Source organism: Homo sapiens, chromosome 11 (assembly GCF_000001405.40).
Source record: "Homo sapiens chromosome 11, GRCh38.p14 Primary Assembly".
Taxonomy (NCBI): domain Eukaryota; kingdom Metazoa; phylum Chordata; class Mammalia; order Primates; family Hominidae; genus Homo; species Homo sapiens.
This window is the reverse complement of record NC_000011.10, coordinates 102,487,774-102,506,703: the sequence shown is the minus strand read 5'-3', so window position 1 is coordinate 102,506,703 and position 18,930 is coordinate 102,487,774. Positions and strand designations below refer to the sequence as shown.

At 39.0% G+C, this 18,930-nt stretch overlaps 1 long non-coding RNA gene across 1 annotated transcript in view; it reads right to left on the bottom strand.

Moving 5' to 3' along the window:
• Positions 1 to 7,902: 7,902 nt before the first annotated feature.
• The window catches only part of LOC102723838 (uncharacterized), a 31,547-nt gene continuing 20,519 nt past the window's right edge, over positions 7,903 to 18,930 (bottom strand). The window contains exons 2-3 of the long non-coding RNA NR_135076.1: positions 12,840 to 12,924; positions 7,903 to 8,197 (exon numbers count right to left, since the gene is read on the bottom strand). This is a non-coding gene — a long non-coding RNA (uncharacterized LOC102723838). The remainder of the gene's footprint in view (positions 8,198 to 12,839; positions 12,925 to 18,930) is intronic.

The window sequence follows — 18,930 nt, the reverse complement described above, 5'->3', positions numbered from 1 at the left end:
CAAATGAGATCCTTTGGAGGAGAAGAGGCATTCTGGTTTTTGAAATATATGTATTGCTATAATGCTTGGAAAGAAATAAATACAGAGTTATTTCTAATTAAAAACAAAAATAAAGGAACACAGGGAAACCCTGGGTGGTGTTAGATATTTCTATTACCTTGATTGCGGTGTTGATATCATGGGTGTTTACTTATGTCTAAACTCAACCAATTGTACACATTAAATATGTGTAGTTATCTGTGTATCATTTATAACTCAGTAAAGCTTTTTAAAAATAATTTCAGGTGGCATAAAAGAGCTACCACAAACAAAGTCTTATTGAAGTTCCTTGGAGAAACCAACATTTACCTATGAAGAAAATGAAGAAGCATAAATTAAAAAGCAGTAATTCAGAGTTCTATATACCTGTCACCATGAACTTTCTGATGTTTCTGGTCATTTTCCGTAAACTGGAGGCCATTATCCTTAGCAAACTAACACAGGGACAGAACACCAAATACCACATGTTCTCACTTATAAGTGGGAGCTAAATGATGAGAACACATGGACCCATAGAGGGGAACAACACACCCTGATGGAGGGTGGGAGAAGGGAGAGGATCAAGAAAAATAACTAAAGGATACTCGGCTTATCACCTGGCTGATGAAATAATCTGTACAATAAATACTTGTGATGCAAGTTTACCTACGTAACAAACCTGCACATGTACCCTGACCTTAAAAATTAAAAAAAACAAACAATTAGTTTATATTTTCTTTTAATTTTTACATAAAAGAAATTTCAGGTGATTCCTTTGGCAAAGAGGAATTTTTGATTTCATTCACTAGCGGATTGAAGAACTTCTTTCTGTTTCTAATCAAAATGAAAAGGGATCATTGAAATTTCACTCAGGCTTTTCTTTTTGCTGAGGCACTGACAGGGTTCTTTGAACTGATAGAACAGACCTTAAACCAACTAAGATCAAAAGAGACAAAGAAAGCCATTACATAATGGTAAAGGGATCAATTCAACAAGAGGCGCTAACTATCCTAAATATATATGCACCCAATACAGGAGCACCAAGATTCATAAAGCAAGTCCTTAGAGACCTACAAAGAGACTTAGACTCCCACACAATAATAATGGGAGACTTTAACACCCCAGTGTCAATATTAGACAGGTCAACAAGACAGAAAGTTAACAAGGATATCCAGGAATTGAACTCAGCTCCACACCAAGCAGACCTCATAGACATCTACAGAACTCTCCACCCCAAATCAACAGAATATACATTCTCTTCAGCACCACACCACACCTATTCCAAAATTGACCACATAGTTGGAAGTAAAGCACTCCTCAGCAAATGTAAAAGAACAGAAACTATAACAAACTGTCTCTCAGACCACAGCGCAATCAAACTAGAACTCAGGATTAAGAAACACTCAAAATCACTCAACTACATGGACACTGAACAACCTGCTCCTGAATGACTACTGGGTACATAACGAAATGAAGGCAGAAATAAAGATGTTCTTTGAAGCCAATGAGAACAAAGACACAACATACCAGAATCTCTGGGACACATTCAAAGCAGTGTGTAGAGGGAAATTTATAGCATTAAATGCCCTCAAGAGAAAGCAGGAAAGATCTAAAATTGACACCCTAATATCACAATTAAAAGAACTAGAGAAGCAAGAGCAAACACATTCAAAAGCTAGCAGAAGGTGGGAAATAACTAAGATCAGAGCAGAACTGAAGGAGATAGAGACACAAAAAAAACCCTTCAAAAAATCAATGAATCCAGGAGCTGGTTTTTTGAAAAGATCAACAAAATAGATAGACCGCTAGCAAGACTAATAAAGAAGAAAAGAGCGAAGAATCAAATAGATGCAATAAAAAATGATAAAGGGGATATCACCACTGATCCCACAGAAATACAAACTACCATCAGAGAATACTATAAGCACCTCTAAGCAAATAAACTAGAAAATCTAGAAGAAATGGATAAATTCCTCGACACATACACTCTCCCAAGACTAAACCAGGAAGAAGTTGAATCTCTGAATAGACCAATAACAGGCTCTGAAATTGAGGCAATAATTAATAGCTTACCAACCAAAAAAAGTCCAGGACCAGATGGATTCACAGCTGAATTCTACCAGAGGTACAAGGAGGAACTGGTACCATTCCTTCTGAAACTATTCCAATCAATAGAAAAAGAGGGAATCCTCCCTAACTCATTTTATGAGGCCAGCATCATCCTGATACCAAAGCCTGGCAGAGACACAACAAAAAAAGAGAATTTTAGACCAATATCCCTGATGAACATCGATGCAAAAATCCTCAGTAAAATACTGGCAAACCGAATCCAGCAGCACATCAAAAAGCTTATCCACCATGATCAAGTGGGCTTCATCCCTGGGATGCAAGGCTGGTTCAACATATGCATATCAATAAATGTAATCCATCACATAAACAGAACTAATAACAAAAATCACATGATTATCTCAATAGATGGCAGAAAAGGCCCCGATAATATTCAACAACTGTTCATGCTAAAAACACTCAATTAACTAGGTAATGATGGAACATATCTCAAAATAATAAGAGCTATTTATGACAAACTCATAGCCAATATCATACTGAATGGGCAAAAGCTGGAAGCATTCTCTTTGAAAACCAGCACAAGACAAAGATGCCCTCTCTCACCACTCCTGTTCAATATAGTATTGAAAGTTCTGGCCAGGGCAATCAAGCAAGAGAAAGAAATAAAGGTATTCAAATAGGAAGGCAGAAAGTCAAATTGTCTTTGTCTGCAGATGACATGATTGTGTATTTAGAAAACCCCATTGTCTCAGCCCAAAAACTCCTTAGGCTGATAAGCAACTTCAGCAAAGTGTCAGGATACAAAATCAATGTGCAAAAATCGCAGGCATTACTATACACCAATAACAGACGACAGAGAGCCAAATCATGAGTGAACTCCCATTCCAATTGCCACAAAGGGAATAAAATACCTAGGAACACAATTTAAAAGGGATGTGAAGGACTGCTTCAAGGAGAACTATAAACCACTGCTCAAGGAAATAAGAAAGGACACAAACAAATGGAAAAACATTCCATGCTCATGAGTAGGAAGAATCAATGTCATGAAAATGGCCATACCACCCAAAGTAATTTATAGTTTCAATGTTATTCCCATCAAGCTACCATTGACTTTCTCCACAGAATTAGAAAAAAACTACTTTAAATTTCATATGGAACCAAAAAAAAGCCCACACAGCTAAGACAATCCTAAGAATAAGAACAAAGCTGGAGATATCACACTACCTGACTTCAAACTATACTACAAGGCTGTAGTAACCAAAACAGCATAGTAATGGTACCAAAACAGATATATAGACCAACAAAACAGAACAGAAGCCTCAGAAATAACCCCACACATCTATAACCATCTGATCTTTGACAAACCTGATAAAAACAAGCAACGGGGAAAAGATTCCCTATTTAATAATCGTGTTGGGAAAACTGGCTGGCTATATGCAGAAAACTGAAACCAGACCCCTTCCTTACACCTTATACAAAAATTAATTCAAGATGGTTTAAAGACTTCAATGTAAGACCTAAAACCACAAAAACCCTAGAAGAAAACCTAGGCAATACCATTCAGGACATAGGCATGTACAAAGACTTCGTGACTAAAACACCAAAAGCAATTGCATGCAACAAAAGCCAAAATTGACAAATGGGATCTAATTACACTAAAGAGTTTCTGCACGGCAAAATAAACTATCATCAGAGTAAACAGGCAACCTACAGATGGGAGAAAATTTTTGCAATCTATCCATCTGACAAAGGTCTAGTATCCAGAATCTACAAGGAACTTAAACAAAGTTACAGGAAAAAAACAACCCCATCAAAAAGTGCGCAAAGGATGTGAACAGACACTACTCAAAAGAAGACATTTATGTGACCAAAAAACATAGGAAAAAAAATCTCGTTATCACTGGTCACTAGAGAAATGCAGATCAAAACCACAATGAGATACCATCTCATGCCAGTTAGAATGGCAATCATTAAAAAGTCAGGAAACAACAGATGCTGAAGAGCATGTGGAGAAATAGGAATGCTTTACGCTGTTGGTGGGAGTGTAAATTAGTTCAACCATTGTGGAAGACAGTGTGGTGATTCCTCAAGGATCTAGAACCAGAAACACCATTTGACCCAGCAATCCCATTGCTGGTTATATACCCAAAGGATTATAAATCATTCTACTGTCATGTGTGGTGGCTCACACCTATAATCCCAGCACTTTGGGAGGCCAAGGCAGGCAGATCACCTCAGGTCAGCAGTACAAAACCAGCCTGACCAACATGGTGAAACCCCGTCTCTACTAAAAATACAAAAATTAGCTGGGCATGGTGGCAGGCACCTGTAATCCCAACTACTTGGGAGGCTGAGGCAGGAGAATCACTTTAACCCGGGAGGTGGAAGTTGCAGCAAGCCGAGATCACACCACTGCACTCCAGCCTGGGCAACAGAGGAAAACTCCCTCTCAAAACAAACAAACAAAAAAAATCACTCTACTATAAAGACACATGCACACGTATGTTTATTGCAGCCCTATTTACAATAGCAAAGACTTGGAGCCAACCCAAATGTCCATCAATGATAGGCTGGATAAAGAAAACGTGGCACATATACACCACGGAATACTACGTAGCCATAAAAAAGAATGAGTTCATGTCTTTGCAGGGACATGGATGAAGCTAGAAACTATCATTCTTAGCAAACTAACACAGGAACAGAAAACCAAACAAAAAAAAAATTCTGAGAAGAAAGCACAGGGCAAGTGCTTCATGATATTGGATTTGACAATGATTTATTGGATAGGACACCAAAAGCCCAGACAACAACAACAAAATGCACATACTGGACTTCATGAAAATGTAAGAATTTTGTGCATCAAAAAACACTCTCAACAGAATAAAAAGGCAACCCAAAGAATGGGAGAAAATATTTGCAAATCATATATATGATAAGGAATTAATATAGAGCATATATAGAGACCTCCTAAAATTTGACAACAAAAAAATTTTGATTTAAAAATGGGCAAAGAACTTAAATAGAAGTTTCTACAAAGAATATATACAAATGATCGATAAGCACATTAAAACATGCTCAACATCACTAATCATTAGAGAAATGCAAATCAAAACCACAACAAGATACTGCCTCACTCACATCCCCTAAGATGGCTTCTATTTTTAAAAGCTGAGAATAAGTGTGGGTGAATATATGAAGAAATTGGAACCTCTGTGCACACTTCGAGGGAAAATTGTATAGCAGTTGTGGAAAACAGTACAGTGGTTCTCCAAGAAATAAAAGCAGAATTATCATATGATGCAGCGATTCCACTTCTGGGAAAGTACGCAAAAGAATTGAAAGCAGGGTCTCAAAGACACAGTTGTACACTCATGTTCATAGCAGCATTATTCCCGGGAGCTAAAATGTGGAGGCACACAAGTGTCCACTGACAGATGAACAGATAAACAAAATGTGGTATATATACACAATGGAATGTTAGCCATAAAAAGGAAGAAAATTCTGGATAAAACTTGAGGACCTTAGGCTCAGTGAAATAAGCCAGTTACAAAAAGACAAGCACTGCATGACTCCACTTACATGAGGTACTTAGAGTATAACATTCATAGAGATGGAAAGTAGAATGATAGTTTCCAGGGCCTTTGGGGGAAGGGGCAATAGAGAATTATTGTTTAATGGGCATACAGCTTCAGTTCTGCAAGAAGGAAAGTGTTCTGGAGATTGATGGTGGTGATGGTTGTACAAGCATACGAATGTACTTAATACCACTGAACTGTACACTTAAAAATGATTAAGACATTAAATTTTATGTTATATATATTTTTCCTCAAAAAAAGAGAAAAATTTACAATGAAAAAAGATCATAATATAAGTTAAAATTCAATTTGTAAAATACTATGTATTGAATTATCAGTTCTATTTTTTAGTATATTTTAAACATATTTTTTAAATGTATAAATATAGTATAAACATATGTTTAGGTGTGGAATGATAAAGAACAAAATAGTATGCATGGTCATATCCAGGTTTTCCTTATATGTGTTTTTATAATGGACAGGAATTTATTTTGTAATAATAACACCATAAAATATTTTTCAAAAGCACATAAAAAATAATTATCACAAAGTTTCTTTAGGCAAAAAGTTTCCTTAATAAGGAAGAGAAAGTTAGAAACAGGATATCTCATCTGAAAAATGAAGTGTGACTGTTAGGAAGAAACAATAACACAAGTTACCATGGAATAAAAGTGTCTTTTAAAAATGTTTGTATTAAAAAGGAACCAGCTATTTATCATTGCAGAGTTAATAATTTAGTGAAGAAATTATAGCTATTCCAGGTTTAGTTTTATTAGGCTGAAAGAAATCATTTTTAATAACACATCACCGTTGTAGAACTTCTTTTCTTCAACTTCATGTCTTCTGGAATGTTCTTGACAATAATTAAACTATATTTAACCACACATAGCAATGCACTTCATGTGACTATAGATGAACAAACTAAGCCATTGCTAGGGCTTGAATGTTTGTCTCTTCCCAAACTCATGTTGAAACTTAAACGTCATTCTAACAGTATTAAGAGGTGGAAGCTTTAAGAAGTGACAAAGCTGTGGGGGCTCTGTCCTCATGAGTGGATTAATGCCATTATTGCAGGAGGGAGTTTGTTATCATGGGAATTATAAAAAAACAAGTTTGGCTCACTCTCTCGTTCTCTCTCGCTCGCTCTCTCTCTCTCTCCCTCCCTCTTGCTTTCCACCATAGAATGATACAGCAAGAAAGTCCTCACCGGATGCCAGTCCCTTGATTTTGAGCTTCCCATCCTCCAGACTCTGCAGATGTCAATTTTTGTTCTTTATATATTACCCAGTCTGTGGTATCTTGTTATAGCAGCACAAAACAGACTAAGACAGCCACTGAAAAGGCCAACTCATTTTCTCCTGGTGTTTAGATAGGATGGCATAGACTACTAGATGCCTACTCAAACATTCATTCTCCACTTCTTTTTTTTTTTTTTTTTTTTTGGAGAGCCCCAATTTTTAGCTAAGAATATTGCCATTGTAAATCAAAGACCATTTCTCAAACTTTCTTAACAGCAAGTATACAGGAATGTGATGTGGGATATCTAGGAAAGCTTAAAGGGACTCTGTTGGTCTTATGCTTTTCTGCTTTTCTTACATTTTGCAGCCTGAAAAGCTAGCAAATTTTATTTCTCTTTTATCTAACAGTCCAGCAGTGCACAGACCTGGGCGGGTGCGGGAGCTCTCCTCAATATGAGGCTCCCAAGCTTGCTCTGCTTGTCTCTGATTTCCAGCCAGCAGTCAGAAATATAGAGAGAAATGAAATTCTATTTTTTAAGCCACTGCATATCTACATCCCCTTGTCAAGAAGCTTAGCTCATTCTCTACTGATGTTAGTCCTCAAAGGACTGCATGGAGCAGGGGCCACTGCTGGTATGAAACTCCGGCACAGAGCTCTTCTGTAAAAGTGAAATGAACTATCTTTTCTTTAAATCATTAGGTTCTGGGGTCTGTAGCCTATTCTAAATAATGCATATAGCAAATAGATCAGGCACACCTATCTTGCACCAGCAGGAAGAAGGCTATGAAATCTGAACAGCCTTCTACAAGCACATATTTCTAACACTTGCAAAAAGTAGAGAATAATGAGTAAAGGACAATAGACAAAGAATTGCTCACAGAAAATGGAACAAGTTCTAACCAAGAATGTATTCCATTGCCAGGGCAAGGAGTCTGTTTTTCTGCCCATTAGAATTTCGCCATTGTTATAAACCACTGAGTCCTGCTCATTTCCCATTTCCCAATTTTCCATTTGTGAAAGAGAGATTTTATTGCAGATATACCATTCTACAACATCATTACATACTGGATGTAGGTGTGGGAGGCAAGAGCCACCCTGTCACTTGATGGAGAGGACAGCACATCACCCAGAGATCCTGGACTTGGAGATGGATGCAGCACCCAGACAGGACTTTGGGTTGTTGGTATGTGGTGATTACGCTCCACTGCTGAGAAAAAATGGTGAGCCTGGCTACATGGAGGGCCAAAGGAGTGGGCTGTGATGGATCACTATTTTCTCCAGTATCCATTCTCCTCTTCCTTTCAAAAATAGAAACACCAAGTTTTAGTTAAATACATGGCCAAGAGCTACAGACCAGAATTCCCCAGCCTCACTGGTCTCTTCCTCCAACCAAGTCTAGGCCAACAGAATGTAAGCAGACGTGAGGTGTGCAACTCCTGTGTTGCCTCTGTAAAAATGAAGCATCTGCTGGATGCAGTGGCTCATGCCTGTAATCCAAGCACTTTGGGAGGCCAAGGCAGGTAGATCACCTGAGGTCAGGAGTTTGAGACGAGACTGACCAACATGGCAAAACCCCGTCTCTACTAAAAAGACAAAAATTAGCCAGGCATGGTGGCAGGCGCCTGTAATCCCAGCTACTTGGGAGGCTGAGGCAGGAGGATGGCTTGAACCTGGGAGGCGGAGGTTGCAGTGAGCCAAGATCATGCTGTTGCACTACAGCCCACCAGCCTAGGCAACAAGAATGAAACTTCATCTCAAAAAAAAAAAAAAAAAAAAGCATTGTCCCCAGGACATTCTCATTCCTCCTTCCCAGCCCCTGGAAAATGGCAGCTGCTGGACAACTAGGAAAGCCTTAAATAAGTTGAAATTTTAATTTACAGCCAATAGTTCAGGTACACAGGCTGGTACCAAACTGTAAAGGAATGCTGAACAATAAGGATAATGTACTAACTCTGTAATCTGTCTCTGTCCATTCCATTTTAAAATTCTGAGATATCCTCTTTTTGTTACGAACATAGCCTTTCTTTTGTAAAATGATGGTAATAATAGGCCATAGATTATTTTTGATGTTCTTGCTTTACAAAATAAGTGTCAGCATCCCAGTTTTTAAAAAATGATATTAATCCATGAAATCCAAAAATCTGGGAACCATCACAATAGGATACAGTGACAAGGAAGTCTTTAGGTACAGAACTTACAAGATCAAATATATTCTCTAGGAAGTCAACTAAAACGTCAGTCTAGTGAGTTATGAATTCTACTATCCATAATCCTGTCAGAAAATGGTGGGAGAGCAGCGCTAGCAAAGACTATAAAAACTATTTACTAAGATAGCAAAGTACCATTAAAGAGAAATTCCTCCTTTCATGTGATTTTCTTCACTATTATTTACAAGTCTGTTTACAACATATTTTTAGAAGACATAATTAATATTCAGATATTTCATCAACAATGAAGTCCTTATAAGTAAATCCAGAGAATTACAATTTGTTCTGAGAACCACACAGGGAATGTGATTTCACTATCATTCTTAGTCATTCAACAAGCATTCATTGAGCCAGGAACTTGGGGAATGAAGAAGGATACAAAGATAAAAAAAAAACACATAGATCCTGCCTTCAAGAATATCAAAGTCTGATGAATAACATGGCTATGTAAAAAATAACTATAACACATTTTGGCTGGGCGCAGTGTCTCACACCTGTAATCGCCGCACTTTGGGAGGCCAAGTGGGGGGGGGGCGGGTGAATCATTTGCGGTCAGGAGTTCGAGACCAGCCTGGCCAACATGGCAAAACCCCAACTCTACTAAAAATACAAAAATTAGCCAGGCGTGGTGGGGCACACCTGTAATCACAGATACTTGGGAGGCTGAGGCAGGAGAATTGCTTGAACCCAGGAGGCGGAAGTTGTAGTGAGCCGAGATTGCACCACCACTGCACTCCAGCCTGGGTGACAGAACAAGACTCCGTCTCAAAAAAAAAAAAAAACTATAATACATTTTCAGAGTTATAATAGATGATATACAATGTGAGAGGGAGAAAGTCCTAACACTGGGATTCTATAAGTTGATTTTTTGTTTGTTTGTTTGTTTGTTTGTTTGTTTTTTGAGACGGAGTTTCACTCTTGTTGCCCAGGCTGGAGTGCAATGGCGCGATCTCAGCTCACTGCAACCTCTGCCTCCCGGGTTCAAGCTATTCTCCTGCTTCAGCCTCCGGAGTAAGCTGGGATTACAGGCACGTGCCACCACACCCAGCTAATTTTGTATTTTTAGTAGAGGCGGGGTTTCTCCGTGTTAGTCAGGCTGGTCTGAAACTCCCAACCTCAGGTGATACGCCCACCTCAGCTTCCCAAAGTGCTGGGATTACAGGCGTGAGCCACCGCGCCCGGCGTGGGATTCTGTAAGTTGTTTTCGTGAGTTTCTAAGCTACATTCTATCAATTCTAGCATGCCGCACACAGGTCCAAAACTCCAGTTTGACATAAAGTGTTTGGGATAAGCAGAATCTTTCTAACAGGCTTGAGGACCTCCCCCCCCACCACCACAGCCTGGAAATACTTTATTTTCTTGTGAGATAGCCTAAGACTCTTCTTGCCTAATCTTTCTTCCTTCAGATTCCAGACCTGCATCAGAGTCTGAAAGCTCTCCCTACCTAGTCCACTCCTTCACCCGTTATCCTTCACAGGTGTTTCCCCAAAAACCTCTTTTATGTCGAATCCGATCCTCTTGGTATCAGCTTTTAGAGAACTTGAATTAACAGAAGGAGTGTCCAGTTATCGAACATTGCATAAAAAGAACCCTAAACCGTAGCTCAAAACAACAATCATTTTATTATGTCTCATGATTTGGTAGGCCAGGAGTTCAGGCAAGGCTGCCCTAGGTGATCCTTTTGTTCTGTGGGGCCGATGGGCTGGTTGGGAGGGGCTGGGATGGCTTCAATCACACGTCTGCTGCGTTGCTGGAGATAATTGGAAATCTGGGCTCAGCTGGGACTGTCAACCATACTGCCTGCTCATGGCATCTTCTCCACCATGGAGGCTGTATGACTTTTAAGATCTAGCCATAGAAGTCATATAACCTCACTTCTGCCATACTCTTCTGATAAAAGTAATCAGAAACACAACCAGAGTTAAAATGAGGCAATATACACCTCCTCCTTGAAGCCGGGAATGCCAAAGAATTTGCTGTTATGTTTCTAAATCGCCACATGAGGGCACCCTTTCTCTTATGAAACCACTAAGTTTCATCAACTTCAGGAGACTATCATTCAAACCAGAAGAGATGTATTAATTCTAACCAAAAGAATACTTGCTACCACAAAAATGCTGTATGGATCAGCAAACATACGTTCTAGTTTATACCCTCTTTTGTCATTACAGTTCAATTGTCAATGCCCCAATCAACAAAAAGGGAATTCAGATCTAGTGCTTTACACTCCAGATGACGTGAATCTAAAGACCATGACCCTGGTGACCACATTAGTTTCTTTAACGGTAAAGTCTGTATTTCCTACAAGTATAGAAGGCTGTCATGAAACGTAAACCCTGGCCACTGACTCTGATCATTTTTGGTGTGCGAAACTGTTACTCCTTTGGTTACTAGCAAGCATACAGAGGAGAGTAAATTGCACCTGAGCCTAACCTCCGACTAAGGGGCTGCTGTGACCTACTGTTGCCTTTTGGAACTTTAACTGGGGAGGTAAAAAACATGGAGTTATGATTACCAAAGGATAATGAGTTAAACTTCAAAGGAATAACTCAGTCTTATATCCCTGTCATCTTTTGCTGAGGCATCTTCATAAAGACTAAGCACGTTACGACCATGCAGCAGTGACTTTCCTTGGTTACAAAGCAAGAGTGGATTTGCCATCCTAGTCGTTGATAATGGTGAACATCAAGTTTGTTTTGTGTGCACGCATATGTGCTAAACATTCACTTGAAAGATACCTTGAGAACTACTTTGGCATAATACAAATGCATTTGACAGGCTTTTTTGTCTTGCCTCTCAAATTAGCAAATTTCCCTAGCCCTGAATAAAACCAAGCAACTACAGTATATAGAAAAATTTAGGAACCCTAAATAATGGATTGAAATTCTATTCAAACTTAACACCTAATTGTACTTTTTTAGTTATCAGTAACTAGACTATGTCATTCAGGGATCAATCTACCTCAAAGTAAATAGATTAAAATATCTTAATCTAAGAAATCATTCAGTTATAAAAGATATGATTAACCTAGCACTTTTTTTTCAAGTTTTTCCTCCTCTACCATAATTTTGATATGAAAAGTGGAGTTCTTGGCAGAAAAAGCAGAGTCTATGTCTGAATCATTCAGAGAAACAATGGTTAGCACAGTTTAGCACATAAAAGTTGTCCAACAAATATTTGTTGAAGCCAGGCGCTGTGACTCACGCCTGTAATTCCAGCACTTTGGTCAAGGTGGGTGGATCACTTAAAACCGGGAGTTTGAGACCAGCCTGGCCAACATAGCGAAACCCCATCTCTACTAAAAATACAAAAAATTAACTGGGTGTGGTGATGCACACCGGCGACAGAGTGAGACTCTGCCTCAAAAAATAAATAAATAAAATAAAATATTTGTTGAATGATCGGTTGAATGAATGAATGGATAAGTGGTATTTATTTGTGTTAACTTACTCAGTTAGGATTTTCATTTACACAGCTTCCAGAAGGTAGTGGTAGAAATTAAAAATAATAGGTAAGATAGAGGCTAATTTAAATTTGAAATAGCTATATGGTGTCTATTCAGCTTGTTAACGATTAATACTTAGATGTTAATTATAATTTACTTAGGACAGATTTCCTTTGAACTTCATTTCTTACGTGTCCATATCAGACAATTAGGTCTTTTTAGGTAAACCCCGATATTCTGGTTATCTTAATAACCATTACATCACCAACAATGATTAAAAGGTATTACCTTAATTACTTTCAGGCAAGGAATTTATCCACTTTGTTCAGCAGCAAGAAGGGCACATGACACAGAGTAAGCACCCGTTAAATACCTGTTGAATAAGGCACTTAATTATTAAACTCCATTTCTCAATGTGAGTACATAACAAAGAATGTGCAGCCATCCCTAATCCACCCTACATACCTACATTCTGATCACTACAGCAACCCTGAAAAGTAGGTATTATTTTATTCATTTCATAAATTAGGAAATTCTCACGGCTGGGATGTGACAGCACTTGCATTTGAAGCTATATTTGTATGTTTCCAAAGTCTTTTTAATTGCCTCCCCAGGCGCAGTGGCTCACGCCTGTAATCCCAACACTTTGGGAAGCCGAGGTGGGTGGATCACCTGAGGTCAGGAGTTCGAGACCAGCCTTACCAACATGGTGAAGCCCCATCTTTATTAAAAAAGAAAAAAAATACTAAAATAAATTAGCCTAAAAAATTAGGTGGTGGCAGGTGACTCTAATCCCAGCTACTCGGGAGGCTGAGGCAGGAGAATTGCTTGAACCCAGGAGGTGGAGGTTGCAGTGAGCCAAGATCGTGCCACTGCACTCCAGCCTGGGCAACAGAGCCAGATTCTGTCCCGAAAAAATAAAATAATAATAATAATTGCCTCTCCGATAAGATAATCTTAAGGACATATACATATAGAAAACAAAAACAAACAACAATTACTGGATATCTGACTTTGTGTCTGGACTTAGTCATTTGCCTCGTGATTGTCCCTGATAGCCATGTTCAGGGACAATCTATTTTCATATAGAATCATCCATCAGGGCCCCGTACTGCCTTTTGGCTCCAAATTCTGCCTCTTGGGGTTTTCCTATTAATTGTTGTCAACACAAAGACCAGACCACCATTCCCTATTCAGCCTGGGTTTCCTGTCTTTTCACAAACCAATCATTCAGCCACCAACAAATAACCAGTCCTTGGTTCTTTTTTTAGTAGAGACGAAACCACACTCGGCTAGTCCTTGGTTCTTTGAAGAAAGACTATGCTTACCTGAAATAACAACACAGAATTGAGCTCTAGGCAAATTTGTCCTCATAACCCAATCACTTTCTCTGATGTGTCCTCAGAAAATGCAAAATATTTTAATACTGGCCTGATGATCATAATTCTTCTCTACTCCAAAATCCTAAAGATATTCTATGTTTTATTTTTAGTTGTTGAGACAGGGTCTTGCTCTGTCACCCAGTCTGGAGTGCAGTGCAGCCTCACTGTTGCCTCAACTTCCCAGGCTCAAGTGATCTTCCCACCTCAGCCTCCTGAGTAGCTGGGACCACAGACACATGCCACAACACCCAACGAATTTTTGTATTTTCTGTAGAGACGGGGTCTTATTATGTTGCCCAGGTTGGTCTTGAACTCCTGAGCTCAAGCAATCCTCTCACCTAGCCTCCCAAAGTGCTAGGATTACAAGCATGGGCTACCATGCCCGACCTATATATTTTTTTCTAGCAGTTACAATCTTTCATATTTAAGTCCTTACTTATTTTTACATCTCTCCCTTAGGTAGGAATCTAATTTTTATTTTTCCATAAAAACTAATTTTTTCTCCAAAATAGACCAAATTCTCATGTGCCTGTTTCTGGGTTCTATTCTGGTCTATTCGTATGTTCCTGTACCAGTACCACATTGGTTTACCTACTACGGCTGAGTAATATGTTTAAATATCTGGTGGAAAGGGGCTGTCCCCTCTTTTTCTTTTTTTTTTTTTTCTGATTGTCTTAGGCAGGGGTTAGGGAATTAGGGTTCATGGGCCCAACCCTATTCACTAACTATTTTAGTAAGTTTTATTAAAACACCACTACTCTAATTTGCTTCTTTTGAACACTGCAACAGCCAAATTGGGTAGTTGCATCCAGCCACCAAAGATTAAAATGTTTAATATCCAGTCTTTTGTAGAAAAAGTTGACCAATCCCTGGTCTTAATTTACTCATGGACATGTATACTTTTACATGAATTTCAGAATCATTTTGTAAACATTCCCAGTTCCAAGTTATTGATTGTAAGGAACAGAAACTGATTCCAAATTAATACAGAAATGAATTTTATTGGGAAAGATATCAGAGAGCTCAAAAATCAGAAAGAAGATTAGAGAAACAGGCTCAGAAAATGGGCAGGAACCATGGGAGGCTTGACAACAGAGAAGGCTACACTGCTGCAGAGAGCCTGGTTAGGACACCACCAGGATGCTGCCACAGAGAATGTTCTTGCAAACCGTCCCTGCATCACCCTACCACTCACACAAGCTTCAGAGTTCCAGAAAGGAGAATGTTATGTCCAAGTTAGGATTACATACTCATATCCTAGTCTCCAGAGAGAAAGAAGGTTCTGATTCTTCTCCTACTTCCACAGAGAGAGGCAGGGCTCTGCCCTCTATCAAGACTTACTCAATGGAGGGTTCGTTCAAAATATGAGAAGGCACATTCTCCCTAAAGTAGCTATAATTTTGCTTGGAATTGTCCTAAATTGAGGGAAAATGGTTATCCTTAAATACTGCTGCCTCATTCATGAAGATGATTTTTCTGATTATTAATTCAGGTTTCTTTTTGCCCTTTGGTAGAGTTTCAAAATGTTCTTCTGTGGTAGTCTTGTGAGTTTTTGTCTATTAAGTCTTGATATTTTACCGGGATTTGGGATTGTTTTAGACAGTATCTTCTTTTCTATTATCTTTTTAATTTTATTATTTCTAGTACTGAAAAATGTTGCTGACTTTTGTATATTGATCTTGCAATCCCCAAGCTTCTTATTACTTCTAAGAGTTTATTGATTTACTTTAATTTTCTATGTAAATAGTCATAGCAGTCATAACACTTGGAAATGACAATTTTATTTCCTCCAATCCAATCGTTATATTTCTTAGTGTTCTATGTCATGTTATTACATTGGCCTGAGCCTCCAGTGTGAGGCAGAACATTATGATAGCCAGTATTCTTGAATTATCCCTAATTTTAAAGCAAACATTTTTCAAGATTTTCCAGGTAAACAGTAAATACCTTTTTATCACATTAAGGAAATTTCTTTCTGTTCCTAGTTTTCTGCTAATTTAAATTGTAAATAAATATAGCACCTTATGGAATGCTTTTTATGCTCTGTTGAAATGTTCTAGGTATTTCTTTCTTTGGTTTCTTAATATGGGAAATCACATTAATAAATTTTTCAAATGTAGAATTATCTCCTTGCGGTCCTAAGAATTAACTATAACTGGTCATGGTATGCTATATTTTTAAATCATGATATATTATTTTAGTAATTACCAAATTCAGTTACCTAATGCATATTAGTATTCTTGCATTTCTGTTCAGAAGTGAGAACTATCTGTAATCTACTTTATTGCACTACTCTTATCAAGTTTTGATATTAGGGTTATATTGGCTTCATAAAAGGAATTAGAAGTCTTTTTTTTTTTTTTTTGGCAGAGTCTCGCTCTGTTGCCCAGGCTGGAGTGCAGTGGCATGATCTCAGTTCATTGCAACCTCCACCTCCTGGGTTCAAGCAATTCTCCTGCCTCAGCCTCCTGAGTAGCTGGGACTACTGGCATGCACCACAACGCCCGGCTAATTTTTGTATTTTTAGTAGAGACAGGGTTTTGCAATGTCGGCCATGCTGGGGAATTTTTAAAAGTTGAAATGATTACAAAGATTACAATTTGTTCTTTAAAAAGTTAATACAAATAAAAAAATAGCCAAGTTGACTGACCACACAGGAAAACTCTGGTTTTACTTATAGTCCTGAGATAATTATTAATAGTTGCCCCTTTCATTCTCGAAATATCACTATTGGACAATAAATTATCCGCTAGGGTAAACCTACAATAACTGACATGGATTTGATGTCACATACTTGCTCTATTACTGTGATAAATTCCCCTGGCCTCTCTGAGTTTCAGGTTTCCCATCAGCAGAATGGAAACTGTGACATTTACCTTCCTGGGTAGTTTGAAGAACAAATGAAATAAAGCAAGTAAACTGACTAATTATTTTTAAAAGTTAGTTAATTTCAGCCGTGGGCATCCGCAACAATTCACAGATTAAAGCAAAAATTCAGCACCCAGATTCAACCCCCAACAGAATTCCAAAGCCTTCTTGACCAGAAGCAGGAAAGTTCATACGAGGTTAGACCACTAATGCCCAGCCCCCACCCCTGCCACCTGCAGCCCTATCTACTAGGTAACTGGGGATATTCAGGTTTGATCTATGGACCCTGAATGCAGGCTCATTGCAATGCTCCATTCTGAAAATCAGGGAAGTCCAAGTTTAAAGACATCATCTTCAGCCACTCCTCAGACCCATCATATGTCCTGCCAATTGTCTCATTCATCAAGTCCTTCTCCTGGGTATTTCCTTGCACTTGTTTATCCTCCTCTCCACAAATATGTGGCAGGGTGTAAATGCTCACTATTTCAGTACAAAATCTTAACTGTTTTTGTTTTTCTTCCCTTTTTTTGATGGACAAGAAAGTGAAATGCAAATATTTTCCCTCACTTTGGATTAGTAATCCCTCCCTTTCCTGGAGGAAAGAGGAACATGTTTTTCAAGTTATGAATCTGATGAATTATAAAAGCATATGGTGAAAGAACAAGAGGGAGAAATATCCACCCAAACTAGAGATGACTTTAGAGGTCCTGAAGAGAAGAGATCTGTAGGTCTAGAAGCAAGAGGACCCATTCTCTGCTTGGGTCATTACTATGGGAAGCAAGACTCCAGGCAGGAGGTACTCAGTTCATCTAGGAAAACAAAGCCCTAGGCAATGGGTTGCAGAGCTTTGCCGAATAGTCCAGTGTCCTAAATATGTCACGGAAACTGCCAGATGCTGCCAGACCTGCCAGTATTGTGCAGACACAGACAATGGGCATGTCAGCATTGACTGATGTGGGAGATGACCAGTGACTAAGGAAGGCCTCCGGAGCCTTGGCAGAGTAAGGGAGTGTGACTGAGGTGGGACCCAAACCTACTGGAGTGATTTACATTCACCTTCCTACCAGCCTAATGCGTGGCAGCTTGGAGTCAAAATTAGGTGGATTCATAGGTCATAAACGTTATACTTCTCTCACACTTGAGCTTTCCGACTTAAGAGTCAAACATTATAATACAGGAGATTCCTAATTCAGGGTGTAGATCTAGTAGTTGAGAGACTACCCCCGGAGGAAAGATTTCTCTGCTCACCATTCCTTGGTTACCCTTCCAGATTTATTTTGGCCACACTCCAACCATGCTTCAGCCTCTCACACCACACTGCTCACCAGCCTCAGCCTTGATTGTCAGCCCCAGAAGCTGGGCCAGGTTTTCAGGGTTGGGCTTCAGTATCTCCTCTCTTGCCCTGTCTTGATCTGGTTCATCTCAAGAACAAGACACTTGCAGGATGCAAGGAGTTTCACCTCTTCAGTTTCACCTTTCAGAAGCTCTGGGGTGGCTGTGTGCCCCCCTGTGACTCTCAAATCTGTATCTTCAGCCCTGCCCTCACTACAGAATAGCAACTCGTATGTATGAGAATTCTACTGGACATCCCCTTGAGATTCCTACATAAAAATCAAGAATCAGATACTAAAAACGAACCTATTAGCTCATGCTACCCTGCCCTTTGATGTCACCATCTCAGTGATTAGAACCACGACCCAGTTGCTTTAATCAAAAACCCAAAGTCACTAATTCCTTTAAAATGTTCTTAATTCACTATCTTCTCCAGTCCCATTGCTGCTGAGTTAGGTCAGGGCCTCATCATCTCCTGTTTGAATTATTACAACAGCCTCCAGTTTGTCCAGTTTCTATATACACTCCACAAAGCCAAACTGATGATTCTAAAACACAAAGTGACGGTCAGTCCCCTTTTCACACTCTTCAGAGATGCCCTACTACTCTTGTTGTATGTCTTACAAATTATGACCCCTGGCCAAATCCAACCTGCAGCCTAATATTGTACGGCCCTCAAGCTAAGAATGGATTTTGTATTTTTTTAATGCCTGCAACCAAAACAAAACAGGAACATCCAATGGTGGCCATATCTGGCCTTCAAAGCCTAAATTATTTACTAGCTAGTCCTTCACAGA